Source organism: Homo sapiens, chromosome 7 (assembly GCF_000001405.40).
Source record: "Homo sapiens chromosome 7, GRCh38.p14 Primary Assembly".
Classification (NCBI taxonomy): domain Eukaryota; kingdom Metazoa; phylum Chordata; class Mammalia; order Primates; family Hominidae; genus Homo; species Homo sapiens.
Window position 1 is genome coordinate 66,238,846 of NC_000007.14, and position 23,027 is coordinate 66,261,872.

Consider the following 23,027-nt stretch of genomic DNA (forward strand, 5'->3'; position numbering starts at 1 on the left):
GCTGTCTGTTTCCCACTGTATACCCTTGCTCTAGCTAAACTAGCAGCTCCAGCTGTTTCATATACATGCTTCTGCTTTTGCACATCCATGTCTTTGGTCATAGTGTACCTGCAGCATGGAGTGCTTCCTGTGTCCAGATCTTACCTGTCCTTCTGAGGATTAGATCACAGATACTTATACATACAATTTTGTTTGCAGCCTATACACTAGCTTTCCTAAACTTCTTCCTGTCACCTAATTATGCTGTGTTCTGTCTTGCCATTGTGCTTTTGCACACAAGTTCCTTTGGTTTAGAATATCCCTCCCTCTGTCTTTTCTTTCTTAAAGAGACAGGGTCTCAGTGTGGGCTGGTCTCGAACTCCTGAGCTCAAATGATCCTCCCATCTCGGTCTCCCAAAGAGCTGTGATTACAGGCGTAAGCTGCTGCACCTGGTCCTTCCTTCCTACTTTCTGTAAAACTTTTACAGCTTCCTCAGGTCAATTACATGCTCCTTTTCATTATGCTCCCATTGTCCCTTTGCGTATTTCCACGGAGGCACTCATCACATTTTATTGTTATTGTTTACATATCTGTCTGTCAAAAGGCTTTGTTTTCCAACAGCAGAAGTTACTATACTGTTTTCCTTTTCAAAGTTGGTCCTCAGTCGAGCCTATCTGGTCTGTAGTACCTAAATAAATTGTGGGATAATAAACTGAATCTCTGTTAAAGATTTGGAAGTTGTTTCATATTTCTTCTATAATTTCTCATTGTTAGAATGTGGAGATAATGACTGCTTGGAGGTAAAGCAAGTCTGAATAGCAGAGATCAGCCTTGGGTTGGACTCCAGACATTCTTGGGCTTATTAAATATTTGGTTGACTCACTGATAGAAATAGTTTTATTTATTTTCCATTCTTTACCAGGTACATAGCTTCAAAATTACTTCATTAACAAAAGCTGTTTCTGATTATAAACATTGATTTATTTTTACTCAAATTTGTATATACTGTATATACTGAGTAAAACAAATTTTACTCATTTGTTTTTGTTTTGTTTTGTTTTGTTTTGTTTTTTTGAGACAGAGTCTTGCTTTGTTGCCTAGGCTGGAGTGCAGTGGCATGATCTCAGCTCACTGCAAGCTCTGCCTCCTGGATTCATGCCATTCTCCTGCCTCAGCCTCCCGAGTAGCTGGGACTACAGGCACCCGCCACCATGCCCAGCTAATTTTTTTTGTATTTTTTTTTAGTAGAGATGGGGTTTCACCGTGTTGGCCGGGATGGTCTCCATCTCCTGACCTCGTGATCCGCCCGCCTCGGCCTCCCAAAGTGCTGGGATTACAGGTGTGAGCCACCGCGCCCGGTCTCAATTTTGTTTTAAGAATATCAAAGAATCCAAGACTGTTTCAGCTTCTTTCTACCTAAAATGCAGTGGTGATAACTGGTGACTGATTTGTAAGCAATCTCAATGTAATGATAAATAACCTTTTCCTTTCTCTACTAGATGTTGGTTATCTTTCTGAAGTAGACTGTCCATGGCCTGAACATTTTCCGAAAATCATTTTGAGCAAAATATCTGTTTAATAACAAGATAACCACATCAAGATGGTTGGAAAGCTGAAGCAGAACTTACTATTGGCATGTCTGGTGATTAGTTCTGTGACTGTGTTTTACCTGGGCCAGCATGCCATGGAATGCCATCACCGGATAGAGGAACGTAGCCAGCCAGTCAAATTGGAGAGCACAAGGACCACTGTGAGAACTGGCCTGGACCTCAAAGCCAACAAAACCTTTGCCTATCACAAAGATATGCCTTTAATATTTATTGGAGGTGTGCCTCGGAGTGGAACCACACTCATGAGGGCCATGCTGGACGCACATCCTGACATTCGCTGTGGAGAGGAAACCAGGGTCATTCCCCGAATCCTGGCCCTGAAGCAGATGTGGTCACGGTCAAGTAAAGAGAAGATCCGCCTGGATGAGGCTGGTGTTACTGATGAAGTGCTGGATTCTGCCATGCAAGCCTTCTTACTAGAAATTATCGTTAAGCATGGGGAGCCAGCCCCTTATTTATGTAATAAAGATCCTTTTGCCCTGAAATCTTTAACTTACCTTTCTAGGTTATTCCCCAATGCCAAATTTCTCCTGATGGTCCGAGATGGCCGGGCATCAGTACATTCAATGATTTCTCGAAAAGTTACTATAGCTGGATTTGATCTGAACAGCTATAGGGACTGTTTGACAAAGTGGAATCGTGCTATAGAGACCATGTATAACCAGTGTATGGAGGTTGGTTATAAAAAGTGCATGTTGGTTCACTATGAACAACTTGTCTTACATCCTGAACGGTGGATGAGAACACTCTTAAAGTTCCTCCAGATTCCATGGAACCACTCAGTATTGCACCATGAAGAGATGATTGGGAAAGCTGGGGGAGTGTCTCTGTCAAAGTGAGTAGAAGATACGTTTTTTATTTTGACTCTATATTTAGCTAATAATGATCTATACATATGTATGTATGTGTTTTATGTATATATGTGTGTATGTTCCTGTGTGTATATATAGAAACTGAAGACCTTTTCTGGAACAGATACAGCTTCATTGATGAGGTTTCTTTTTTTATTAATTCTCTACTAGTTTATTACAGATGTTCACTTATTTATACTTCATTTTTTCATTTATATATCGTGGCCCTCTTTATTTGTTTGATGGATACAAACCCACCTTACAGGCGGTGAAAAGCCTTCTTCAGGGTCTCAGACCTTAATGCCAATCATTCAGTTTTAGTGGCTTCTGATTTCTAATTTCTAGATATTGTTGTTAATGAGGATAGTTGGCTTTTGTGTGGATTAAGGTTAAAATCAGGAAGTGCATATATCATGTTAATGAGCACATAGTGAATTATAAGCATTTTGAAATTTTTAGTGGTAGAGAAAAATAAAAGCTTCGTCTAACCTAATCTCTTCATTTTATGGACAAGAAGACTGAGTCACAGTAAGATTAAAACGATTTGTTCAGATTTAGATGGCAAGGCCAGAATTCGAATCTGTGCCTTGGTCTCAATGAGGTCGTGCTTTTCTCCGTGGCATTTTACTACGTGTTGTGCTTCCTTTGTCATCTGAAGGATATAACCTCTCTTATTTTTTACAAAAGGCTAGAGAATCTCCAAAATTTGGAAGCCTAATCCATACAAGAAGTTCCTTGGATTCAAAACTTCTCAAATGATGATTTTTAGCATTTTGCTTCTTTTCTTATGAAGTGACAACTAGTATACCCTCTAACCTGTCTTGATGACTTATATACCTGGAATGAGGATATAAAAATGGAAACTACTATTAAATTCAGGTAGCATCTCTTCATGAAGAAGAGTTGGCTATAACTAAATTTTATTTTTGTTTTTTTTCTTTTATCAAAGTAATATATAACACCTGTAAAAAAGAAATATATAAGGTGTTATATATACATATATAAAAAGAAATATAAAAGGTGTTATATATACTTTTTATCAAAGTAATATATAACACCTGTAAAAAATACTTTCCTTGTGTGCCCTTCTTACTTTCACCAAGGAATATCTGCTTAATTTTTTTTTGCTGTATAGAACTTGTATAGTAAATAGATTTCTTATGTAGATAATCTCAAAGGAACAGCTGCCTGCCTGTACCAAGCTTTCAATTATTGATTATAAGTTATGACATACCATCATTGTAGTGGCTCTAGGTTGTTTTTATTGATTCAAAGAAAATTTCAGCTCTGGCTACTCTGATTGCAGTTTATTATTATTTCCAGATAATAGACTATAATTGATTTTTAATCACCTGTATTAGGTATTTCAGTCTTTGTGCTTGTATGTTGGCCCGGCACCGATGCCACCTACATCTGCTAATATAAAAGGAGGCCATTAGACCACCAGCCTCTTCAGTAGGGATTAAAGAGATATGCTTAAGTTAAATTTTGGTGCTAATCAGGAAGAGAACATTTTGTGTATATACTTGCTATGTTTAAGGTAAACATAAAGGCCAAGAAAATTCATAGAAATTATATTATGAATTAATGAATTTTAGAAAGTAAAGAGATGTTACTTAGCATTTCAGTATGTGGAATGGAGGCCCTGTAAGGCTCTATGTTTTTTCAAAAATTAACATGTCACAATCATGAGTAGAACCTACCATGCTTATTCCAAGATTTTTGCATTTGGGGTCTTTCTAGTTTGGGGCTATTATGGATCAAAGTTGCTAAGAACGTTCTTGTACATTACTTTTGGTGGATATAGCATTCATTTCTTTTAGGTATATACCAATGAATAGAATTGCTGGATGACAAGGGGTGTGTGTGTGTGTGTGTGTGTTTGTGTGTGTGTGTGTGTGTTTAACAGATACTTTCTAACAGTTTTCCAAAGTGTCTCTATCATTCATGTATGGCTGTACTGTAAATGAACATGTTCTAGTTGCCTCACATCTTTACCAACACTTGGTATTTTAGTCTTTTCTGGTAGGCTACAATTGTTTTTTAAAACTTAAAAGCAAAATAATATTTGAACCCCTTTTTGAAAGAAAATCTTACCCAGAATTCCAATATAAAACAAGAGCTGCTTTGGTTGAGGTGAGTCTAAACTAGACCATATTTCCTTCTTTTGTTTTTGAGATGGAGTCTCTCTGTGTCATCCAGGCTGGAGTGCAGTGGCATGATCTCTGCTCACTGCAACCTCCATCTCCCAGGCTCAGGTGATCCTCCCATCTCAGCCTCCCGAGTAGCTGGGATTACAGGCACGCATCACCATGCCCAGCTAATTTTTTTTTTTTTTTTTTGTATTTTTGGTAGAGCCCCATGTTGGCCAGACTGGTCTCAAACTCCTGAGTTCAGGCAATCCATGTACCTCAGCCTCCCAGAGTACTGGGGTTACAGGTGTGAGCCACTATGCCTGGCCAGCCATACTTCTTTTTTAAAGATTGAATCCCTACTCTCAAAAACTGCTTTTTGGGGAATAAGGCAGAAAATACAAAATTATTACATAGTGCCAAGTTGTAAATATCCCATGTTCATTATAATAAAGAATTTATTGCCCACAGTCAGTCATCCTGTGTGCTTTTCGTTTTATTTAAACATTTTTATTCTGGGAAATTTTTTTTTTTTTTTTTTTTTCTTCGAGACGGAGTCTTGCTCTGTCGCCCAGGCTGGAGTGCAGTGGCATGATCTCGGCTCACTGCGAGCTCGGCCTCCCAGGTTCACGCCATTCTCCTGCCTCAGCCTCCTGAGTAGGTGGGACTATAGGTGCCCCCCACCACGCCCAGCTAATTTTTTTATTTTTATTTTTAGTGGAGACAGGGTTTCGCCATGTTAGCCAGGATGGTCTCGATCTCCTGACCTCGTGATCTGCCTGCCTCGGCCTCCCAAAGTGCTGGGATTACAGGCGTGAGCCACCGCGCCTGGCCGAAAATTGTTTAAAGTAAATATTTTAATACTTAGTTCAGTATTACTTAGTATTACAATACTTAAATATTTAGGCAGCCTTGAAGGTTTGAAGATGTCACCAGATGGCCTAGGGATACTTGTAGAAGCTGTTGAAAATAGAGATATCAGGAGACCTTCACAGTTCTGCCTCTTATCTTGTTAATTTTTGAGAGTTAACCTTTACTTTGCTTAGAAATTTCCAGTTATTTACAGTCAGGGTGGCATCTCTTGCGTCTCTGGGCTGTTCCAGTTACAGAAAAGTCAGAGGCTCCTGCTCAAGTATCTTGAAAAGAAAGCAGAAGTAAAGTTTGAGGCTATTTACGTTGCCCTCTTCTCATGGTTTGTGGAATTTTTTGTGGAATTTTAGTTGTCTCCATCAGGGAACTTTTGGGAAGTTACAAGAGCGTACAGTTACTTCTGTTATTAAACTCATTATGATACCATGAAATTACGTGGAACAAATAAAAGTCAAGTTTGCTAGGTCAAAAGAGCAAATCCAGAAAAGCAGATTAATGTAACAGTGACGCTTAGACAACAAGTACAGGAATCACAACTACAATTCAGAGACGAGTTCTTATCTACACTTAGGGCAGAAAGAGAATATAGCAACTATTAAACACAAATAAATTAGAATGAAAAAGATAATAGTAGTGATAAGTACAAGAGAACAAATAAGAACATGAAAACTGACACCCTACAGCTTCTAATAAGTAAAGCAGACAAAAAATCCTCTAAATCAGATCAAAAGCAAAGAAAGACTGAATAAATGAGTGAAAATAATGTAAAAAGGTTTTTGGAAATGGAGACATTTTTGAGGAAGTAGGAAGAATAATTAGTAATTTATTAAATTCATAACTTTCTTTTTAATATAGAAAGTGAAATTTAGTTTTGTTAAAGAAAAAATTATTCAGTGATACCTGCTAAGGCATGAGGCAGTGTTTATTTAGCACCACTGCAGGAGGTACAGGGACCACTGCAGTCGGGTCTTGCAGTGGGGAATAGAGATTGGACTTAACTCTGAATACAGCATGGGCAAGTGAGAATTTGTAGCCAGAGAGTAAGGTGAGGGTCAGTGGATGGAAAATTACTACGAGGAAACATCAGGGGTCAGGGGCATTCTGGCTAAATTTACCTGATAGGATTCTCACTGAAGACAGGCCGGGGTGATCAGACATCACCTGGAGGGTGGTGGAGGATGAGAAACCCGATCAGATCCTGAGAGTGATTAGATATCAAGGGTAGGAGGTTCTTGCTAAACTGCCTTAGCAGGGTTCTTTGCTAAAACTGGATTTTATAAAGAAGTGCACAGATGGTCCTAGGAGAAGGTTCAGGAGCCTGACTGAAGTTTGGTCACACAAAGAATCTTTGTCAGTTTGGAAACTTAAAATTCTTATGTCTTATGGGATTAACAGAAAGATAACTCAATAGCCACTTGAAATTCTTCTGAAATTTAAGGATAACAAGAATATTTTGAGCAAGTGAAGAGAATGACAGACCATATTCACAAAGATATGAGCATTAATAGCATGGAAAATTAACAGCAGGCAAATTAGGATCACCTGAGCTCTACTAGCTCAGTCTGAAATATCCCAGAAGAATTTTATAAATATTACATGTGGTGTTTTGTTTTTGTTTTTGTTTTCATGAAGCTATCAGAGAACAAGTCTGTTTATTTGTGAAAACTTCTCCTTTGTGAAGGCACTGCCTAAGGATGCTATTGGGCTATTGGGGTTGTGTCTTTTTTGGTTTTTTTTTTGGAGACAGGGTCTTGCTCCATCACCCAGGCTGGAGTATAGTGGCAAGATTGTAGCTCACTGCAGCCTTGAACTCCTGGGTTCAAATGATCTTCCCACCTTAGCTTCCTGTTAGTAGCTGGGATTACAGGTGCATGCCATCATGCCTGGCTAATTTTTTTTTTTTTTTTTTTTTTTTTTTTTGGTGGAGACAGGGTCTCACTATGTGTTACCCAGGCTGGATTCGAACTCCTGGCCTCAAGCAGTCTTCCTGCCATGGCCTCCCAAAGTGCTGGGATTACCGCTGTGAGCTGCCATGCCCAGCCTCCTTTTACAAGCTATATTGAAGAGAGAAGTGACTGAGACATCTTAGCTGGAGAGGAGGAATTGAATAAACAAGGGATACAAGTGACAGAGTAAAATGGGCTGTGAAAGGAAATCAGAGAGCTGATGAAACATTGCATTTCAAAGTGTGTCAGGGAAAGATTGAGAAGAAGCAGAACCAGAACATGAATTAATAAGGCAACATTTGTACTTTTCTTGGAGAATATAGCAATTGGTAGCAAAAATTAGAAGTTGGATATCAGATCATTTATTAGTTTGATTAGATTTCTCTACAAATAGTAGAGATCCAAAATAACAAAGATTTCCAAATAATGACTACTATGTAGAAGGCAGACCAGGGCTGCTTTGTCAGCTTTGCAGTCATCTGGCATTTAGGCTGCTTCCAGCTTTTGTCTCCATCATCCCCAGGATCCAAGTTGGAGCGCCAGTCATTTCATCTACATTCTAAGCAGCACAGCAGGGGTGGATGTGTGTAAAACAAATGGCGTTTAGTATTTTTTGAGGATATTTCTTAGAAGCTTCCAGGTAGTACTTCTTGCTTTTCACTGGCCATAACTGGGGTTCCTTTTACTAAGAAAAATCAATTGGATATTGGGATAGGCAGATAGTAGTCTCTGCTACATTATTGAGCACCTACTATGTGCCAGACACTGTGTTAGCTCCTTGAGATAAAAGGTCTTTGCCTTAAAGGAACATATGATCTAATAGAAGACTTAGATTCATATATAATGCAGGGTTAAGAACTATGGTCACCACTGCTTCTTCATTGGTGAATAATTAAAAACAAACAAAAAGAGGCCAGGCACAGTGGCTCACACCTGTAATCCCAGCACTTTGGGAGGCTGGGGTGGGCAGATCACCTGAGGGCAGTAGTTCAAGACCAGCCTGACCAACATGGTGAAACCCCATCTCTACTAAAAATACAAAAATTAGCCAGGGGTGGTGGCCCATGCCTGTAAACCCAGCTACTCGGGAGGCTGAGGCAGGAGAATCACTTGAACCTGGGAGGTGGAGGTTCCAGTGAGCTGAGGTCGTGCCACTGCACTCCAGCCTGGGTGACAGAGCAAAACTCTGAACAACAACAACAACAACAAAGAACTATGGAAAACCAAGGAGAGGTGCCTAACCCAGTCTGAGGTGTTCAGAGAGGTCATCTTGGGCAATGTGTCATGAAACTGAGCCCTAAAGAAGGGTTTCCTCAAGCTTGGTATGACATTTTAGTCAGATAATTATTTGTTGTGGCAGCCATCCAAGATGATCAACAGATAAAGGGAAGCGCATTTAGTTTTGACTTAGGGAATATTGTGCTCCCTGGGTGACCCATGGTTAAGGCGCTGTAGTTCTTCCTTGACTGTCCAGAATGTCTTTCCTTTTCCTTAGCCAATGAGCCACCCAAGAAATGTTACTCCTGGGAGAAGCCTGTGCCTAACTGTGGTTTACAGAATTCAAAGGGAAGAGGTAGTATGGAGGACTCCTTGTGGCTTCACTCCTGGCCCAACCCAGGGCCTCAAAAGGACCTAAGGAACAACTACGCCCTGTTATGCCTGACCTATGGACCCTACCCTCTTGACCATATAATGGAAGTCAGCTAAGCTTAGTCCCACCTGGACCTAGAACATGGTGTTTGTTTCCCATAGGTGAATATATTTTTGAAAAATATATTTTTGAAAAATAAGTAAAACAAAACCAAATCAGGAAATAATCATTGAGAAGTTACAATATGAACACCTTAACAAAGATGAGTAACAATGTGGTGTTTTTTGCTAGAGAGTTCATTTCCAGGCAGGAAGTAGTGTGAAACAAGGTTTGAGAGAAATGATGCGGACCAGGCTTTGGAGGGCCTTATATTTTAAGCTAAAGATATTGAATTTTAAGCCAGTTGCCTTCAGACTTCTCTTATTAGTGGAGCACCCTTTTTTTCAAGTGAAATCTTGTTCGGAACCTTGGTAGATGATGTACTTGGAAGTGAAGTGGCCCTCCTTTAGGCAGCATTTAATTTTGGTTGGATTTAACAAAGAAAACTGAAGTGAAGCTCATGGAATTGCAAAACTACAATTTTGTTTTTAAAAGAAAAACATTGATTGTAATGTGTAAAATTTACAAAACTGATACACTTTTAATTGGGATTATATTGGTTTATAAAAACATTTAGTGTTTTTTTTTTTTTTTTTTGAGACAGAGTCTCGCACTGTCTTCTGGGCTGGAGTGCAATGGCATGATCTCGGCTCACTGCAACCTCTGCCTCACGAGTTCAAGTGACTCTTCTGCCTCAGCTTCCTGAGTAGCTGGGATTGCAGGTGCGTGCCACCACACCCAGCTAATTTTTTTTTTGTGTGTGTGTTTTTAATAGAGATGGGGTTTCACCATGTTAGCCAGGATGGCCTTGATCTCCTGACCTCATGATCCGCCTGCCTCGGCCTCCCAAAGTGCTGGGATTATAGGCGTGAGCCACCGTGCCTGGCTCAAAACATTTAGTTTTAATAGGCATTTTAGGGTATGTCTTAGTCCATTTGGGCTGCTATAACAAAATACCACAAACTGGGTTCTTACAAACACAGAAGTTGATTTCTCGCAGTTTTGGAGGCTGGGATGTCCAAGATCAGGCACTGATGGATTCAGCATCTAGTAAGGGCCTGCTGTCTGGTTCATAGATGGCACCTTGTGTCCTCACATGGTAAAGGAGGTGAAGAATCTCTCCCTGGCCTCTTTTGTAAGTGCACTAATAAGGACACTTCCCAAGTTCCCATCTCCTAATACAGTCACATTGGTGATTAGGTTTTAACATGAATTTGGGGGGACACAAACATTCAGTCCATAATGAGGTATAAAACTTAGAAGATTCCTGTTTTTTTTAAAAAAATTCTTTTTTTTTTTTAAGATTTAAAATGTAAGCCTAGTTCAGAGTATTTTGCCAAGATGAAGTGTAGGGCAAATTGGATCTTTAAGTAGAGTAACCTATTACATTGATTAACTACTGTCAAAGAAAAGCCAAGCACATCAAGGGAATTATGGTTGGTACCCATCCAGATATTATACATGAATTCATGGTTCCTCCTTGGTCCTTTTCTGAATTACCTGTCTAATGAAGAATTATTTCATTGTTTTTGAAAACATCCTTACATTTCCTCATTGCTGAAAATCATGTTTTCAAACATCAACCATTCATCACAATCACATACAGAACCTTTAAAAGACCTAAAATTTCTGATTCAGGAGGTCTGGGATAGGCCCAAGAACTTGCGCTTCTAACAGGTTTCCCGGTGATGCTAATGTTCCTGGCCTGATTTCACTTTGAGAACCACTGCTTAAAATCATGCTACGTTTTGTTTGCTTCATTTGTGGACTCAGACTTTCTTGCCCCTACAGCCTGGGCTGCAGCCACACTGAAATAATTGTAGCTACAATTATTGCCACACCATTTATTTAATCAGTTCCTTTGAATGTGTTGTTTCCTGTGCCTGCAACACCTTTCTCTCACTTCATTTCTTCATCTGACCAACTCATGGTTGTATTTCAAGATTTAGTTCAGGTTTCCTTTCCCTAAGGAAGATCTCTCCAAGGCCCCCCTCTGTCTGGGATGTACTTCCTATGCTTTCATGAGACACTTGGCAAATGGAAAAGGGTTGATACTTTGAAGCTGGCTAGACTTTGTTTAAAGTCTTTCATTGACACTAACTGGTTTTGTAACATTGCATCAAATACTATCTCTCTCCGTGTCTCCATTTTCTTATCTATAAAACAGGGAAGATGGTGATGATGGTAATGATACCATCCAACATCTACTGAACATTTGTTATGTGCCAGGCAGTATGCTGAGCTCTCTGTGTGCCTTATCTCATTTAGTTTTTATATTTACCCTTTCACACTCACCCATAGGTGCCTTAAACATCTTAATTTTATAGATGAGGGACTTGAGGCTCCCAGAAGTTGAGGAGCTTGTCCTCCGTCCCACAGTTGGAAGATGGTAGAGCCAGGCTGTGGACTCAGGTCTTTGTCTTCATCTATACTTTTAGCTCTTGTTGTATATACTTACAGCATTTATGAAGACAAACTAAAACAGTGTGACAGTGGCTAAGCACACGTTTTAGAGTCAGACAGACATAGGTTCAAATCCTAGCACTGTCCTTTATTGATTATGTGACCTTGAGTGAGTTATTTGGTTTTGTCTAGTCTTGGTTATCTCATCTTTCCTTTAGTTTTCTTATCCTGGAAATGGGAATGATAATATGTTAGATCCCCCTTATCTGCAGATGATATGTTCCAAGACCCCAGTGGATGCCCGAAACCCCACTGATGGTACCGAGCCCTATATATACTATGTTTTTTCCTGTGCATATATACCTGTGGTTAATTTATAAATCAAGCACAGTAAGATTAACAGCAGTAACTAATTATAAAGTAGAACAATTATAACAATATGCCAGTATTACTACTTTTGAGCTTTATGGCCATGATTAAGTTAAACAAGAGTTACTTCAACGTAAGCACTGCGATACTGCTACAGTCCATCTGATAACAGAGGGCTACTAAGTGACTAATGGTGGGTAGTGAGTGTACATTGCATGGACGTGTTGAACAAAGGGATGATTTACATCCCAGTCTAGACAGAGTGAGACAATGTTAGATTTCATCATGCTACTGAGAATGACATGCAATTTAAAACTTATGAGTTGTTTATTTCTGGAGTTTCCCATTTAATGTTTTCAGACCACAGTTGACTGCAGAGAACTACCTGAAACTGTGGATAAAGGCTTACTGAAATAGTATCCATTAAGGATGATAATAATAACTATCCATAGGGTTGTCGTGAGGATTTAGTTAGAATGACTATAAAGCCCTTAGCCAAGTGCCTGGTATATAATGAGAGGTTGAAAATGTTACCTGTTGTCTTTATTATTATAATAATAAGGATGATAATAATACCGATTGCAGATGATGGTAAGTAGTATTTATAGAGTTGTGAGAATTAAATTACTACAAAGCCTTTAGAATAGCACCTGGCACATAGAAATTGTTCAAAGTGGTACTTATTAGTATGTTATTTTTATTGTCGAACGCTTATGCACTGTTCCCCTCCCTCTCCCCATCCCAAAATAATGAGTGTGAAACACCTAGGTTAGTAGCAAGTGCACCACAGGCTTTTGTTAATGTTCTTACACATGCTCCTGTAAGCTTGTTTAGGGCAAAGGTAGTCTTGAAGTCATGAAATGTTTGTCTCAATGAAGCAAAGTAAGCACCCGATTTGAATAGCTCTAGTAGGAAACTAACATGGCAGGTTGGGAATGCTGGCATTACAGTAACAATAATCTCTGAAACTACTTGGAGGTGACCTTTGATATTTCATTGTCATGTTTTCCCTTTTTCCTTTGTTTCTTTGTTTAGTTTGCCTGTTGGTAAACTTTATATAAATGGGATCATGGTCTGTGTTTTTTTCGGTCAGGTTCTTTTTTTTTTTCTCTGGCCTAACATTTTCTTTTGAGATTTACCTGTGTTGTGGTATATAGCTATATCATCAGTTTTAATTGCCAAAATACTATTCTCTGGTATAATATAGATTATTTATACATTTTTACTATTGATGAACATTTGGATTGTTTTTAGTTTGGAGCTAAGGACATTTTTGAAGGTGTTTCCTTCAAGAGTTTCTCTAAGATATACACTTTGGATTAGAATAGCTGGATTATGAGCAGTATGCATATTCCACTTGTTTTTCTTTTTTGTTTTTTGAGATGGAGTCTCGCTCTGTCGCCCAGGCTAGAGTGCAGTGGTGCGATCTCGGCTCACTGCAAGCTCCGCCTCCCGGGTTCACGCCATTCTCCTGCCTCAGCCTCCCAAGTAGCTGGGACTACAGGCGCCTGCCACCACACCCGGCTATTTTTTTGTATTTTTTAGTAGAGACAGGGTTTCACTGTGTTAATCAGGATGGTCTCGATCTCCTGACCTCGTGATCTACCCGCCTCGGCCTCCCAAAGTGCTGGGATTACAGGCTTGAGCCACCGCGCCCAGCCTTTTTTTTTTTTTTTTGAGACGGAGTCTCGCTCTGTCGCCCAGGCTGGAGTGCAGTGGCGCGATCTCTGCCCACTGCAAGCTCACACCATTCTCCTGCCTCAGTCTCCCAAGTAGCAGGGACTGCAGGCGCCCACCACCATGCCCGGCTAATTTTTTGTATTTTTAGTAGAGACGGGGTGTTAGCCAGGATGATCTCGATCTCCTGACCTTGTGATCCGCCCACCTCGGCCTCCCAAAGTGCTGGGATTACAGGCGTGAGCCACCGTGCCCGGCCAGTAGCTTATCTTTTAACTTCCTTTTTAATATCTTTTTTGTCAATGACCTCACTTTAACAGAATTAAGAAAAATAAGAAAAATCTTTTGATGAATTTAAGTTTTAAACTTGTATTTACCAATCTTTTTCTTTAGAATTTTTTGTAAAAAAATTCTTCCATACTCTGAGGTCATAAAAATAGTTTCCCATGTTTTTTCCAAAACTTAAAACAAATTTCTTTTCATGTTAATCTGGAATTTATTAATCAATATGGAATTTATTTTCTTGTGTGAGGTGCAGATTCATTTTCATATTTTTTCTATAAAGATGACCAGTTTCCCGGAACCATCTATGGAAATACAGTCAGTACTTTGGATCCATGGGTTCCACATCCATAGATTCAACTAACCTCAGGTCAAAAACATTCAGGGGGGAAAAATTCCACAGAGTTCCCAAAATTACAACTTGAGCTTGCCATGTGCTGAATACTACATTGAATCTACGTGAATGAAGTGATGTGTGGGCATCGTTAGGTTAGGTATTATAAGTAATCTAGAGATGATTTAAAGTATAAGGGAAGATGTATGTAGGTTATATGTAAATACTGTGCCATTTTATATGAGAGATTTGGGCATCTGTGGATTTTGGCATTTGTGGGGAGTCCAGAAACCTAGGGGATTGTCCTAATGACATGCAGTACCAGCTAGGTTAAACATCAGGTTTCCATGTATGCATTATTCTTTTAGTGAGATCGCTTTCTTTTTTTTTTTTTTTTTTGAGACAGAGTCTCACTCTGTTGCCCACGCTGGAGTGCAGTGGCACGATCTCAGCTCACTGCAACCTCCGCCTCCTGGGTTCAAGCGATTCTCATGCCTCAATTCTCCCGAGTAGCTGGGACTACAGGCGTGTGCCACCATGCCTGGCTAATTTTTTGTATTTTTAGTAGAGACGGGATTTCACCGTGTTAACCAGGATGGTCTCTCTCTCCTGACCTTGTGATCCGCCCACCCTGGCCTCCCAAAGTGCTGGGATTACAGGCATGAGCCACTGCACCCAGTCAAGAAATCCTTCTTCACTTAGTCTATCCTAATGCCATATACCACTCTATTTTAATTACTGCAGTTTTAGAAAATGTCTTCGAGTTAGCCAGGCGCGGTGGCTTATGCCTATAATCCCAGCACTTTGGGAGGCTGAGGTGGGCGGATCACTTGAGGTAAGGAGTTATACCCCAGCCTGGCCAACACGGTGAAACGCCATCATTACCAAAAAATAAAAATTAGCTGGGCATGGTAGCGGGCACCTTTAGTCCCAGGGAATGGAGGCAGAAGTTGCAGTGATCCAAGATTGTACCACTGCACTCCAGCCTGGTTGACAGAGTGAGACTCTGTTTCAAAAAAAAAAAAAAAAAAGAAAGAAAGAAAATGGCTTAGAATCTAATAGGGTAATCTCCCTGCTTAGTTCTTCTCTAGGAATGTCTAGGCTGTTTTTAAACCCTTTGGTCCTCCGTATATATTTTAAAATCAACTTGCCTGATTTCATGAAAAATCAGACTAAATTTACATTGAACCTGTAGGTAATTTGGGGGAGGATTGCCATTCTTAAAATATTAAGCCATTCTATCCATAATACAGTGGGCCTCTCCTTTTATTTAGGTCGTCTACAATATCCTTTGATGGTATTGTATTTTATAATGTTCTTCATAAAAGTATTGTACTTTATTTGATAAGTTTATTATTCAGTACCTTCTTTTCATTGGTAATGTAAATATGTGTATTGTTTTTATTTATTTAAGTTATTCATTTATTCTTTTGGGATGGAGTCTCACTGTGTTGCCCAGGGTAGAGTGCAGTGGTGCGATCTCAGCTCACTGCAACCTCCGCCTCCCGGATTCAGGAGATTCTCCTGCCTCAGCCTCCCGAGTCGCTGGGATTGCAAGTGTGAGCCACCAAGCCTGGCTAATTTTTGTATTTTTAGTAGAGACAGGGTTTTGCCATGTTTTCCAGGCTGGTCTCAAACTACTGAACTCAGGTGATGCACTCGCCTCAGCCTCCCAAAGCGTTGGGATTATAGGCACAAGCCACCATGCCCAGCCAGATATGTGTATTGTTTTTAAATGTTCTTTTAGTTGCTGGTGTATATAATTGTAAATGACTTTTGTATATCTATATCCCGCAGCTTTCCTAATGTTTTGTGGTTTTGCCTAGGCTAGGACTTCTAATAGTAGTAAGCAACCTTATTTTAAAACAGTTGTTGTTGCCAGGCGTGGTGGCTCACGCCTGTAATCCCAGCACTTTGGGAGGCCAAGGCGGGTGGATCACTAGGTCAGGAGATCGAGACCATCCTGGCTAACATGGTGAAACCCCGTCTCTACTAAAAATACAAAAAATTAGCCGGGCGTGGTGGCGGGCGCCTGTAGTCCCAGCTACTCGGGAGGCTGAGGCAGGAGAATGGAGTGAACCCAGGAGGCGGAGCTTGCAGTGAGCGGAGATCATGCCATGCACTCCAGCCTGGGTGACAGAGCGAGACAACGTCTCAAAAAAAAAAAAAAAAAAAAAGTTGTTTTTAAGTGGGGACAGTTTGTTCCCTAGGGGACATTTGGCAATGTCTGGAGACTTTTTGGTCATCACAGTTGGGGAAGTGGAGGTGATACTGCTGGCCTCAAATAGAAAGAGGCCAGGGTGTTGCTAAACATCCTGCAATTATAGGACAGCTACTACAACAAAGAATTTATTCAGCCCCAAATGTCAGCTGTGCCAAGGTTGAGAAACTGTATTTTAAAGGGAATGCCTTAAACAATATTTTATTATTATGCAGAATTCCAAACACAAAAATAAATTGGTAAACAGAATTCCCAATACCAACAGTTAACTATTGTAGGCCAGTATTTAACTCCTTTCCTTCCCCCAACTTCTGCTGAATTATTTTAAAACAAATACAAGATATCACATCATTCCATCTGTAAATACTTCTCTGTGTGTCACTAAAGTAGAGGTTCCCAAATTATGGTTTCAGAATACCCAAAAAATCCTTCAGACCCTCCCAGAAGATCTCCAAGGCTAAAACTATTTTCACAATGGTACTAAGATGTTATTTGAATTTTCATTCTGTTGACATTTGTGCTGATAGTGCAAAAGAGTTGAAAATTGTGGATGCCTTAGCACAAATCAAGGCTCTGGCACCAAACTGTACTTAGTGGTCATTGTACTTTTAGTACTGTCAAATTCTCTTCTGCTTAAAAAAAAAACCAACTAGATTTAAGTAAGAATGTGATTCATGAAGCAGTACAGTTTTTTTTAGTCTTCTACCTAATGGTTTTAGTGATCATTGATGAATCATTGCCCAGACCTACTATTTTATTAAGTCTGGCCAAATGGTGGTAGTCTAATTTAAAATTTCCTTCTGTATTCATTAATGATATTTTTCTATAAAGAAGACTGTGCTTATACCAACTGTTTAGTTACTCCTAAATATCCTTTGTGTAGGAAATGGAGGAAAATGATTTATTTATTTTTTCCCAGAACAGAGTTCACTCTAAAGGGAATATGTTTAATGAATTTTGTTGTATTTATTTTAATGTACATTATTGGTATATGCTGTTAGTTTTCTTTCTCTTTGTTGATATCTTTTATCAAGTTAAAGAATTTCTCTTCTATTTCTAGTTCACTAAGAGTTTTCAAAGTTAATGGATATTGTATTCATTTTCCATTGCTGTGTAGTAAGTTACCCCAGAATTTAGTGGCTGAAAACAACAAACATAAAAGTTTCTGTGTGTCAGGAATATGGACACAGCATAGCTGGATCTTCTGCTTCAGAGTCCCTCACAAGGCTGCATCAGGGCTCGACTGGGGAAGGAATGATTTCCTAGTTCATGTGGTATTTGGCAAGATTCAGTTCCTTCTCTGTCTTAGGTGGAGGGCCTTAGTTTCTTGCTGTGTGTTTCTGTATATGGCTACTTAACATGGCAGCAGGCAAACAAGAAGAGCCAGAGAAAGTAAAGAAGATGGAAGTTACATCTTTTCCAGCCTTATCTCAGAAGTGACATCCTATCACTTTTGCCATATTCATGAGAATCAAATTCCTAGGCCCAGCTAAAATCAAGTAGACGGGATTACACGAAGGTAGGAATATCAGGAGTTGGGAACCATCAGGTGCTATTTTAGAAGCAGCCTTCCAGCCTGCCCTGTGGCCCCCAATGACTCATGTCTCTTGCATATGGCCCTCTTAATTTGCCCCTTCCTCCAGGTCTCCAAAAGTCTCATTCTGTTACAGCATCAGCTCAAAGTCCAGAATCTTGTCATCTAAATCAGGTCCAGTTGTGAGTGAGGCTTATGGGTGAAGTTTCTTTTTTTTCTTGAGACAGCATCTCACTCTGTTGCCTAGGCTGGAGTGCAGTGGCGCAGTCATGGCTCACTGCAGTCTCAACCTCCTGGGTTCAAGTGATCCTCCTGCCCCAGCCTCCTGAGTAGCTGGGATTACAGTTGTGTGCCACCACACCTGGCTAATTTTTTTATTTTTAGTGGAGATAGGGTTTCGCTATGTTGCCCAGGCTGGTTTCAAACTCCTGGGCTCAGCCCCCCAAAGTGCTAGGATTACAGGTGTGAGCCACTGCACCTGGCCAAAGTTTTTAAAATACAGTTCCTTGTGTACAGTTCCATTCAGTCTGTAGAAATGTGACATTAAAGATACAAGTTATCCTCCCTTCCCTATATCCAGTATACAAGGGTGGAACAGGCATGGGATAATAGACATTCCTGTTTAAAGGAGGGAAAATAGGAGGCACAGAAGTGTTACTAGTCCATATCAATTCTGAAATCCAGCCAGGATGTTAGAAGTTCCTTGATTCCACCTCTGAGTTATTCTTCCTTTTTCATGAAAGGTAGCATGTGTTAGCAGCTGTGTAGTTTTTTATTAGTCTGCTTCCTGCCAGTAGAATTTTGGGAGTCTAGTGACCTCTTTTCGTGTTATACTATTTCTGGGTTTTTTTGGTCCAGCCTGGCAGTGTTGCTGCTGATATAATTTTCTCAAAAACTTTGTCAGTCCTTTGTGAAACTCACTGGTGTTCATTCCATTGGGTAATAGTCACACCCACGAATCTAAGGTACACCCTTCTTTACTTTGTGATCTTTCTCAGATGGCTGAGGGACAATGTTCTTAAGTTTCCTAGAGCCCCTGTTGTTGAGTCGCGAGGACCTATTAGGCACACCCTTAATTTCTTTAAAGAGCCCTTTGTATGACAGAATTACTGGGAACCATTTTCCAAGTAGCCCACCACAAAGGTTGTATTTTGTCAAATTGAAGGAGTCATCTGACTTTCCTTAATCATAAGCTACAAATATAATAAGCTACATTAATAGATTTTCTAATATTTATTTAACTTTGAATTTCTGGAAAAAACCCAACTTGGTAATGATTTATCATCTGAGCTTTGTTTTTGGCTTTGGTATGCTAATTTTTGGCTTAGGATTTTTATATCTATTTCATGAGTGACACTGACCTGTAATTTTCCCTTTTCTTACTCTCTATGTCTGTTTTTTTTTAATATAGTTATGCTTCCCTTACAAATTACTTTTGATTGTCTTTTCCCTCAATTTTGGATCACATTTTCCTGATGCTCTCATTTGAGTAATTTTGGAGTTATATTTTGTGTTTCTAAGTCCTGTTAAAATCCTTGGAAGAATGCTGATTTTATTTTTGTTTTGGTAGACTGTCAGGCTGGTTAGGTTCTAAACCACAAGTTTTCTCACCTGTGAATAGTATTTCCAGTATCAGTTCAAAGACTGTGCTATGCTACTTTGGGTCTTTCCTATCCACAGACCATTTATTAGTTAGTTTGGAGCTTTGGCAACAGTTTATATTTTAATTTATTCTCAGAGCCTTTGCTGTGCTTCCCTGAATCTCTCTTATGTGTGAGCTAGAAGTTGTGCTGGTTCATGTGCAAAATTACGGGAAACCCTTTCTCTGGCTCATCTTTTCCTGGATTCCCCACATCTCTCTGGCTCACAGAGGCTCCTTTCATTGTTATTCTAGTCAGACGTTTGGATTTCTTTCAGAGCTTTAGCTGCCTGCGATGCGTTTCTGTATGGCTGGTGCCACCCTTAGGGTGAAGAGCTCAGAAAAAGTGTTAAAAATAATGAGAATGATTCTTACGCTCCTTAGACCACTGTGGTCTTTCCCAATTATTTTTGCCTGAAATGAGGGGTTTTGCCCAGAGTTTTTGCTGCTCACATTTGTGCATAGTGTGGACTTATGGTTCTAATTTTATTCTAAGGATCTTTATATTTCTCAGGGTTTTTTGTTTTGTTTTTTGAAAAAGTCTTAGTTTCTTAGCAGGTTATTTTTGGTTTATTTAATTCTGGGTTGGCAATAATTTTCTCTTAGTGTTTTGAAGATATTATTCCACCATCCACTAGTTGCAGTGGTTGCTGTTGAAAAACCTGCTGTCAATAATTGTCAGGCCTTTGTTATATGTCATTTCTCTGACCACTTTAAGCTCTTTATCTTTTGTGTATTTTGTTTTTATTACTGTATTTTGTGAGTAGGTGTGGATTCCTTTTTTTGTTTAGCTTGGTAAATGCTCTTCTTGTAAATATAATTTTAGTTTCTTTAGACAACATAGGGCTATTTAAATTGTTTCTTAAGTGAGCTTTGGTAGTTTGTCTTTCAAGGAATTTGTTCATTTCCTCTAAGTTGTTGAATTTATGGGCATAAAGTTGTTCATAATCCTTATTATCATTTTCAATCCATAGAATCTGTAGTGATCTGTAGAACCTTGCATTCCTGAAATCAGTAATTTTTACTTGGAACGTGTTGAGCTCTTTGGATCAGTGAGTTTTATAGTTTATATAAAATTTGGAAAATTGTGTACTTTTTTTTTCCAAATTTTTTTTCTCTTCTTTCTCCTTTCCTTCAGGACTCCAATTACACATATATGAGACTGTTGGAAATGTTTCCATAGTTCACTGATTTTTTTCAATTTTATTTTCAAAAATAGGCTTTGTTTTTTATAGCAGTTCTGGATTCATGGCAAACTTGAACAGAAAGTGTAGAGAGTTCCCATATATGACTTATCCACACACATGCACTGCCTCCCCCAATATCAGTATCCTACTGGTATATTTATTACAATCGATGAATTTATATTGACACATTATTATAACCCAAAGTCCATAGTTTACATTAACGTTCACTCTTGGCATTGTATATTCTGTGGGTTTTGACAAATGTATACTACCATATATCTACCATTTTAGTATCATACAGAATATTTTAACTGTCCTAAAAATCCTCCGTGTTCCCCCTATTTATCCTTTCCTTTTTCAGCCCCTTGGCAACCACTGATTTTTTATTCTAGCCATAGTTTTGCCTTTTCCAGAATGTCATGGAGTTGGAATCATACAGTATGTATTCTTTTCAGATTGGGCTCTTTCACTTAGTAATATGCTCTTTACTCCATGTCGTCTCATGTCTTGATAGTTTATTTCTTTTTAGCACTGCTGTCAATACAGCTTAAGTATCTCTTATCCGAAATGCTTGGACTAGAAGTGTTTCCAATTTTGGATTATTTTGGATTTTGAAATATTTGCATATACCTGATTAGATATCTTGAGAATGGGATATAAGTCTAAATATGAAATTCATTTATGTTTCATATTACACCTTATGCACATAGCCTCAAGGTGATTTTATACAATATTTTGAATAATTTTGTTAATGAAACAAAGTCTGTGTTAAGTATGTGTGGAATTTCCCACTTGTGGAGTCAATGTGAATGTCACAAAATTTCGTATTTTGGAGCATTTCAGATTTTTAGATTAGGGATGCTCAACGTGTACTTGAATGACTGTACTCCATAATAACTGTGGAATAATCTGTGGAATAACTGTTTTAATGCATTTGGTAATTCTAACATCTGTGTTATTTAAAAATGAGTATTTTTCTCATTACGAGTTGTGTTTCCCTGTTTATTTGCATGCCTGATAATATTTGGATGCCAGATGTTGTAAATTTTACTTTTTTGGTTGCTGGATATTTTTTGTTTGTTTTATTTTTGTTTGCTGGATATTTTTGTAGTTCTGCAAATATTCTTGAGCTTTGTTCTGGGATGCAGTTAACTTACTTGACCAGTTTGATCTTTGGGGTTTTTGCTTTTATGATTTGTTAGGTGAGTCTGAAGAAATACTTAGTCTGTGCCTGATTATTCCCTATTACTGAGTCAAGACCTGGCTGAGTACTCTACTAATATCCAATAAATTATGAGTTTGTCCACTCTGGGTGGTAAGAGCAAGCACTATTCCTTGTTCTATGTGAGTTCTGGGCACAGTTCCCTGTAAATTCGTTCTTTCCATTTAGCACATCTCCAGAATTCTCTCTGTATACAGCTCTCTCCTCTTTGATTCTCTGGCCTGAAAACTCCAACCAGGACTTTCAGCTCCATTTCTCAACTTAGAGTCTGCTGGGCTCTGCCTGGGACCCCCTTCTTATACCACAGTCTGGATATTTTCTCAAGGCAGTAAGCTGGGGCAATTATGGGGATCACTTTTTTCCCCATTTCTCGGGAAACAGTCTTCTTCATTGCCCCTAATATCCAGTGTTTTGAAAATTGTTGTGCAACGTATATTGTCTTTTTTTTTTTTTTTTTGGTTCTTTCGGGTTGGATTACTTTGAAGCCTTTCATTTATAGATATTTCAATATGGTCCTTTGAAAGATAAGCACTCTTTACTTTTTTCTGAAACCTTTTATATTATCTGAACTCATCACGTGTGGGCAGCACTGTGTTGCTGTGTTCATGAAACATTTATAAGTTATGTACTAGTTTGCTTTATTTCCCAGTATATCAGTTTTGTTCAGTAACAATCATTTGATAGATTAGTGCTCACCTTTAAATTTTTTAAAATTTTGGGCAGCTGATGGCTATGTGTGTTATCTCCTATTTCTTTATGTTATCCTGGATTCAGAGCCATAGAATACTACCTAGATTCTTTAGGAAAGTCTTTGTGTGCCTGACATTCTGTTTATTCTTTTCATATATTTAAAAAAATATATTTAATACATGTATTTTTCCATAAAATATATGTTGTCATATTGGGTTCAGATCTTGGCTTTACCACTTACTGACTGTGGGACCTTGAATCAGATACCTAACCTTTGTATGCCTCATTTTCTTCATGTGTAAAATGGTGATAGTAATGGCATTTACGTCATAGGGTTGTTAATAAGGTTTAAATGCATTAATAATATGTAAAGAGCTTAGGATAGTATCT

The 23,027-nt window shown here is 38.9% G+C and overlaps 1 protein-coding gene across 13 annotated transcripts in view; it reads left to right on the forward strand.

Annotated features, from left to right (window-relative positions):
• TPST1 (tyrosylprotein sulfotransferase 1) overlaps positions 1-23,027 on the forward strand; it is a 161,654-nt gene that overhangs the window by 40,056 nt on the left and 98,571 nt on the right. For all 13 annotated transcript variants that reach the window (XM_047420959.1, XM_047420957.1, XM_047420960.1 and 10 more), the window contains exon 2: positions 1,480-2,425. In XM_047420959.1, coding sequence (XP_047276915.1) covers positions 1,581-2,425 — 845 coding nt within the window. In that variant the 5' untranslated portion in view covers positions 1,480-1,580. The remainder of the gene's footprint in view (positions 1-1,479; positions 2,426-23,027) is intronic.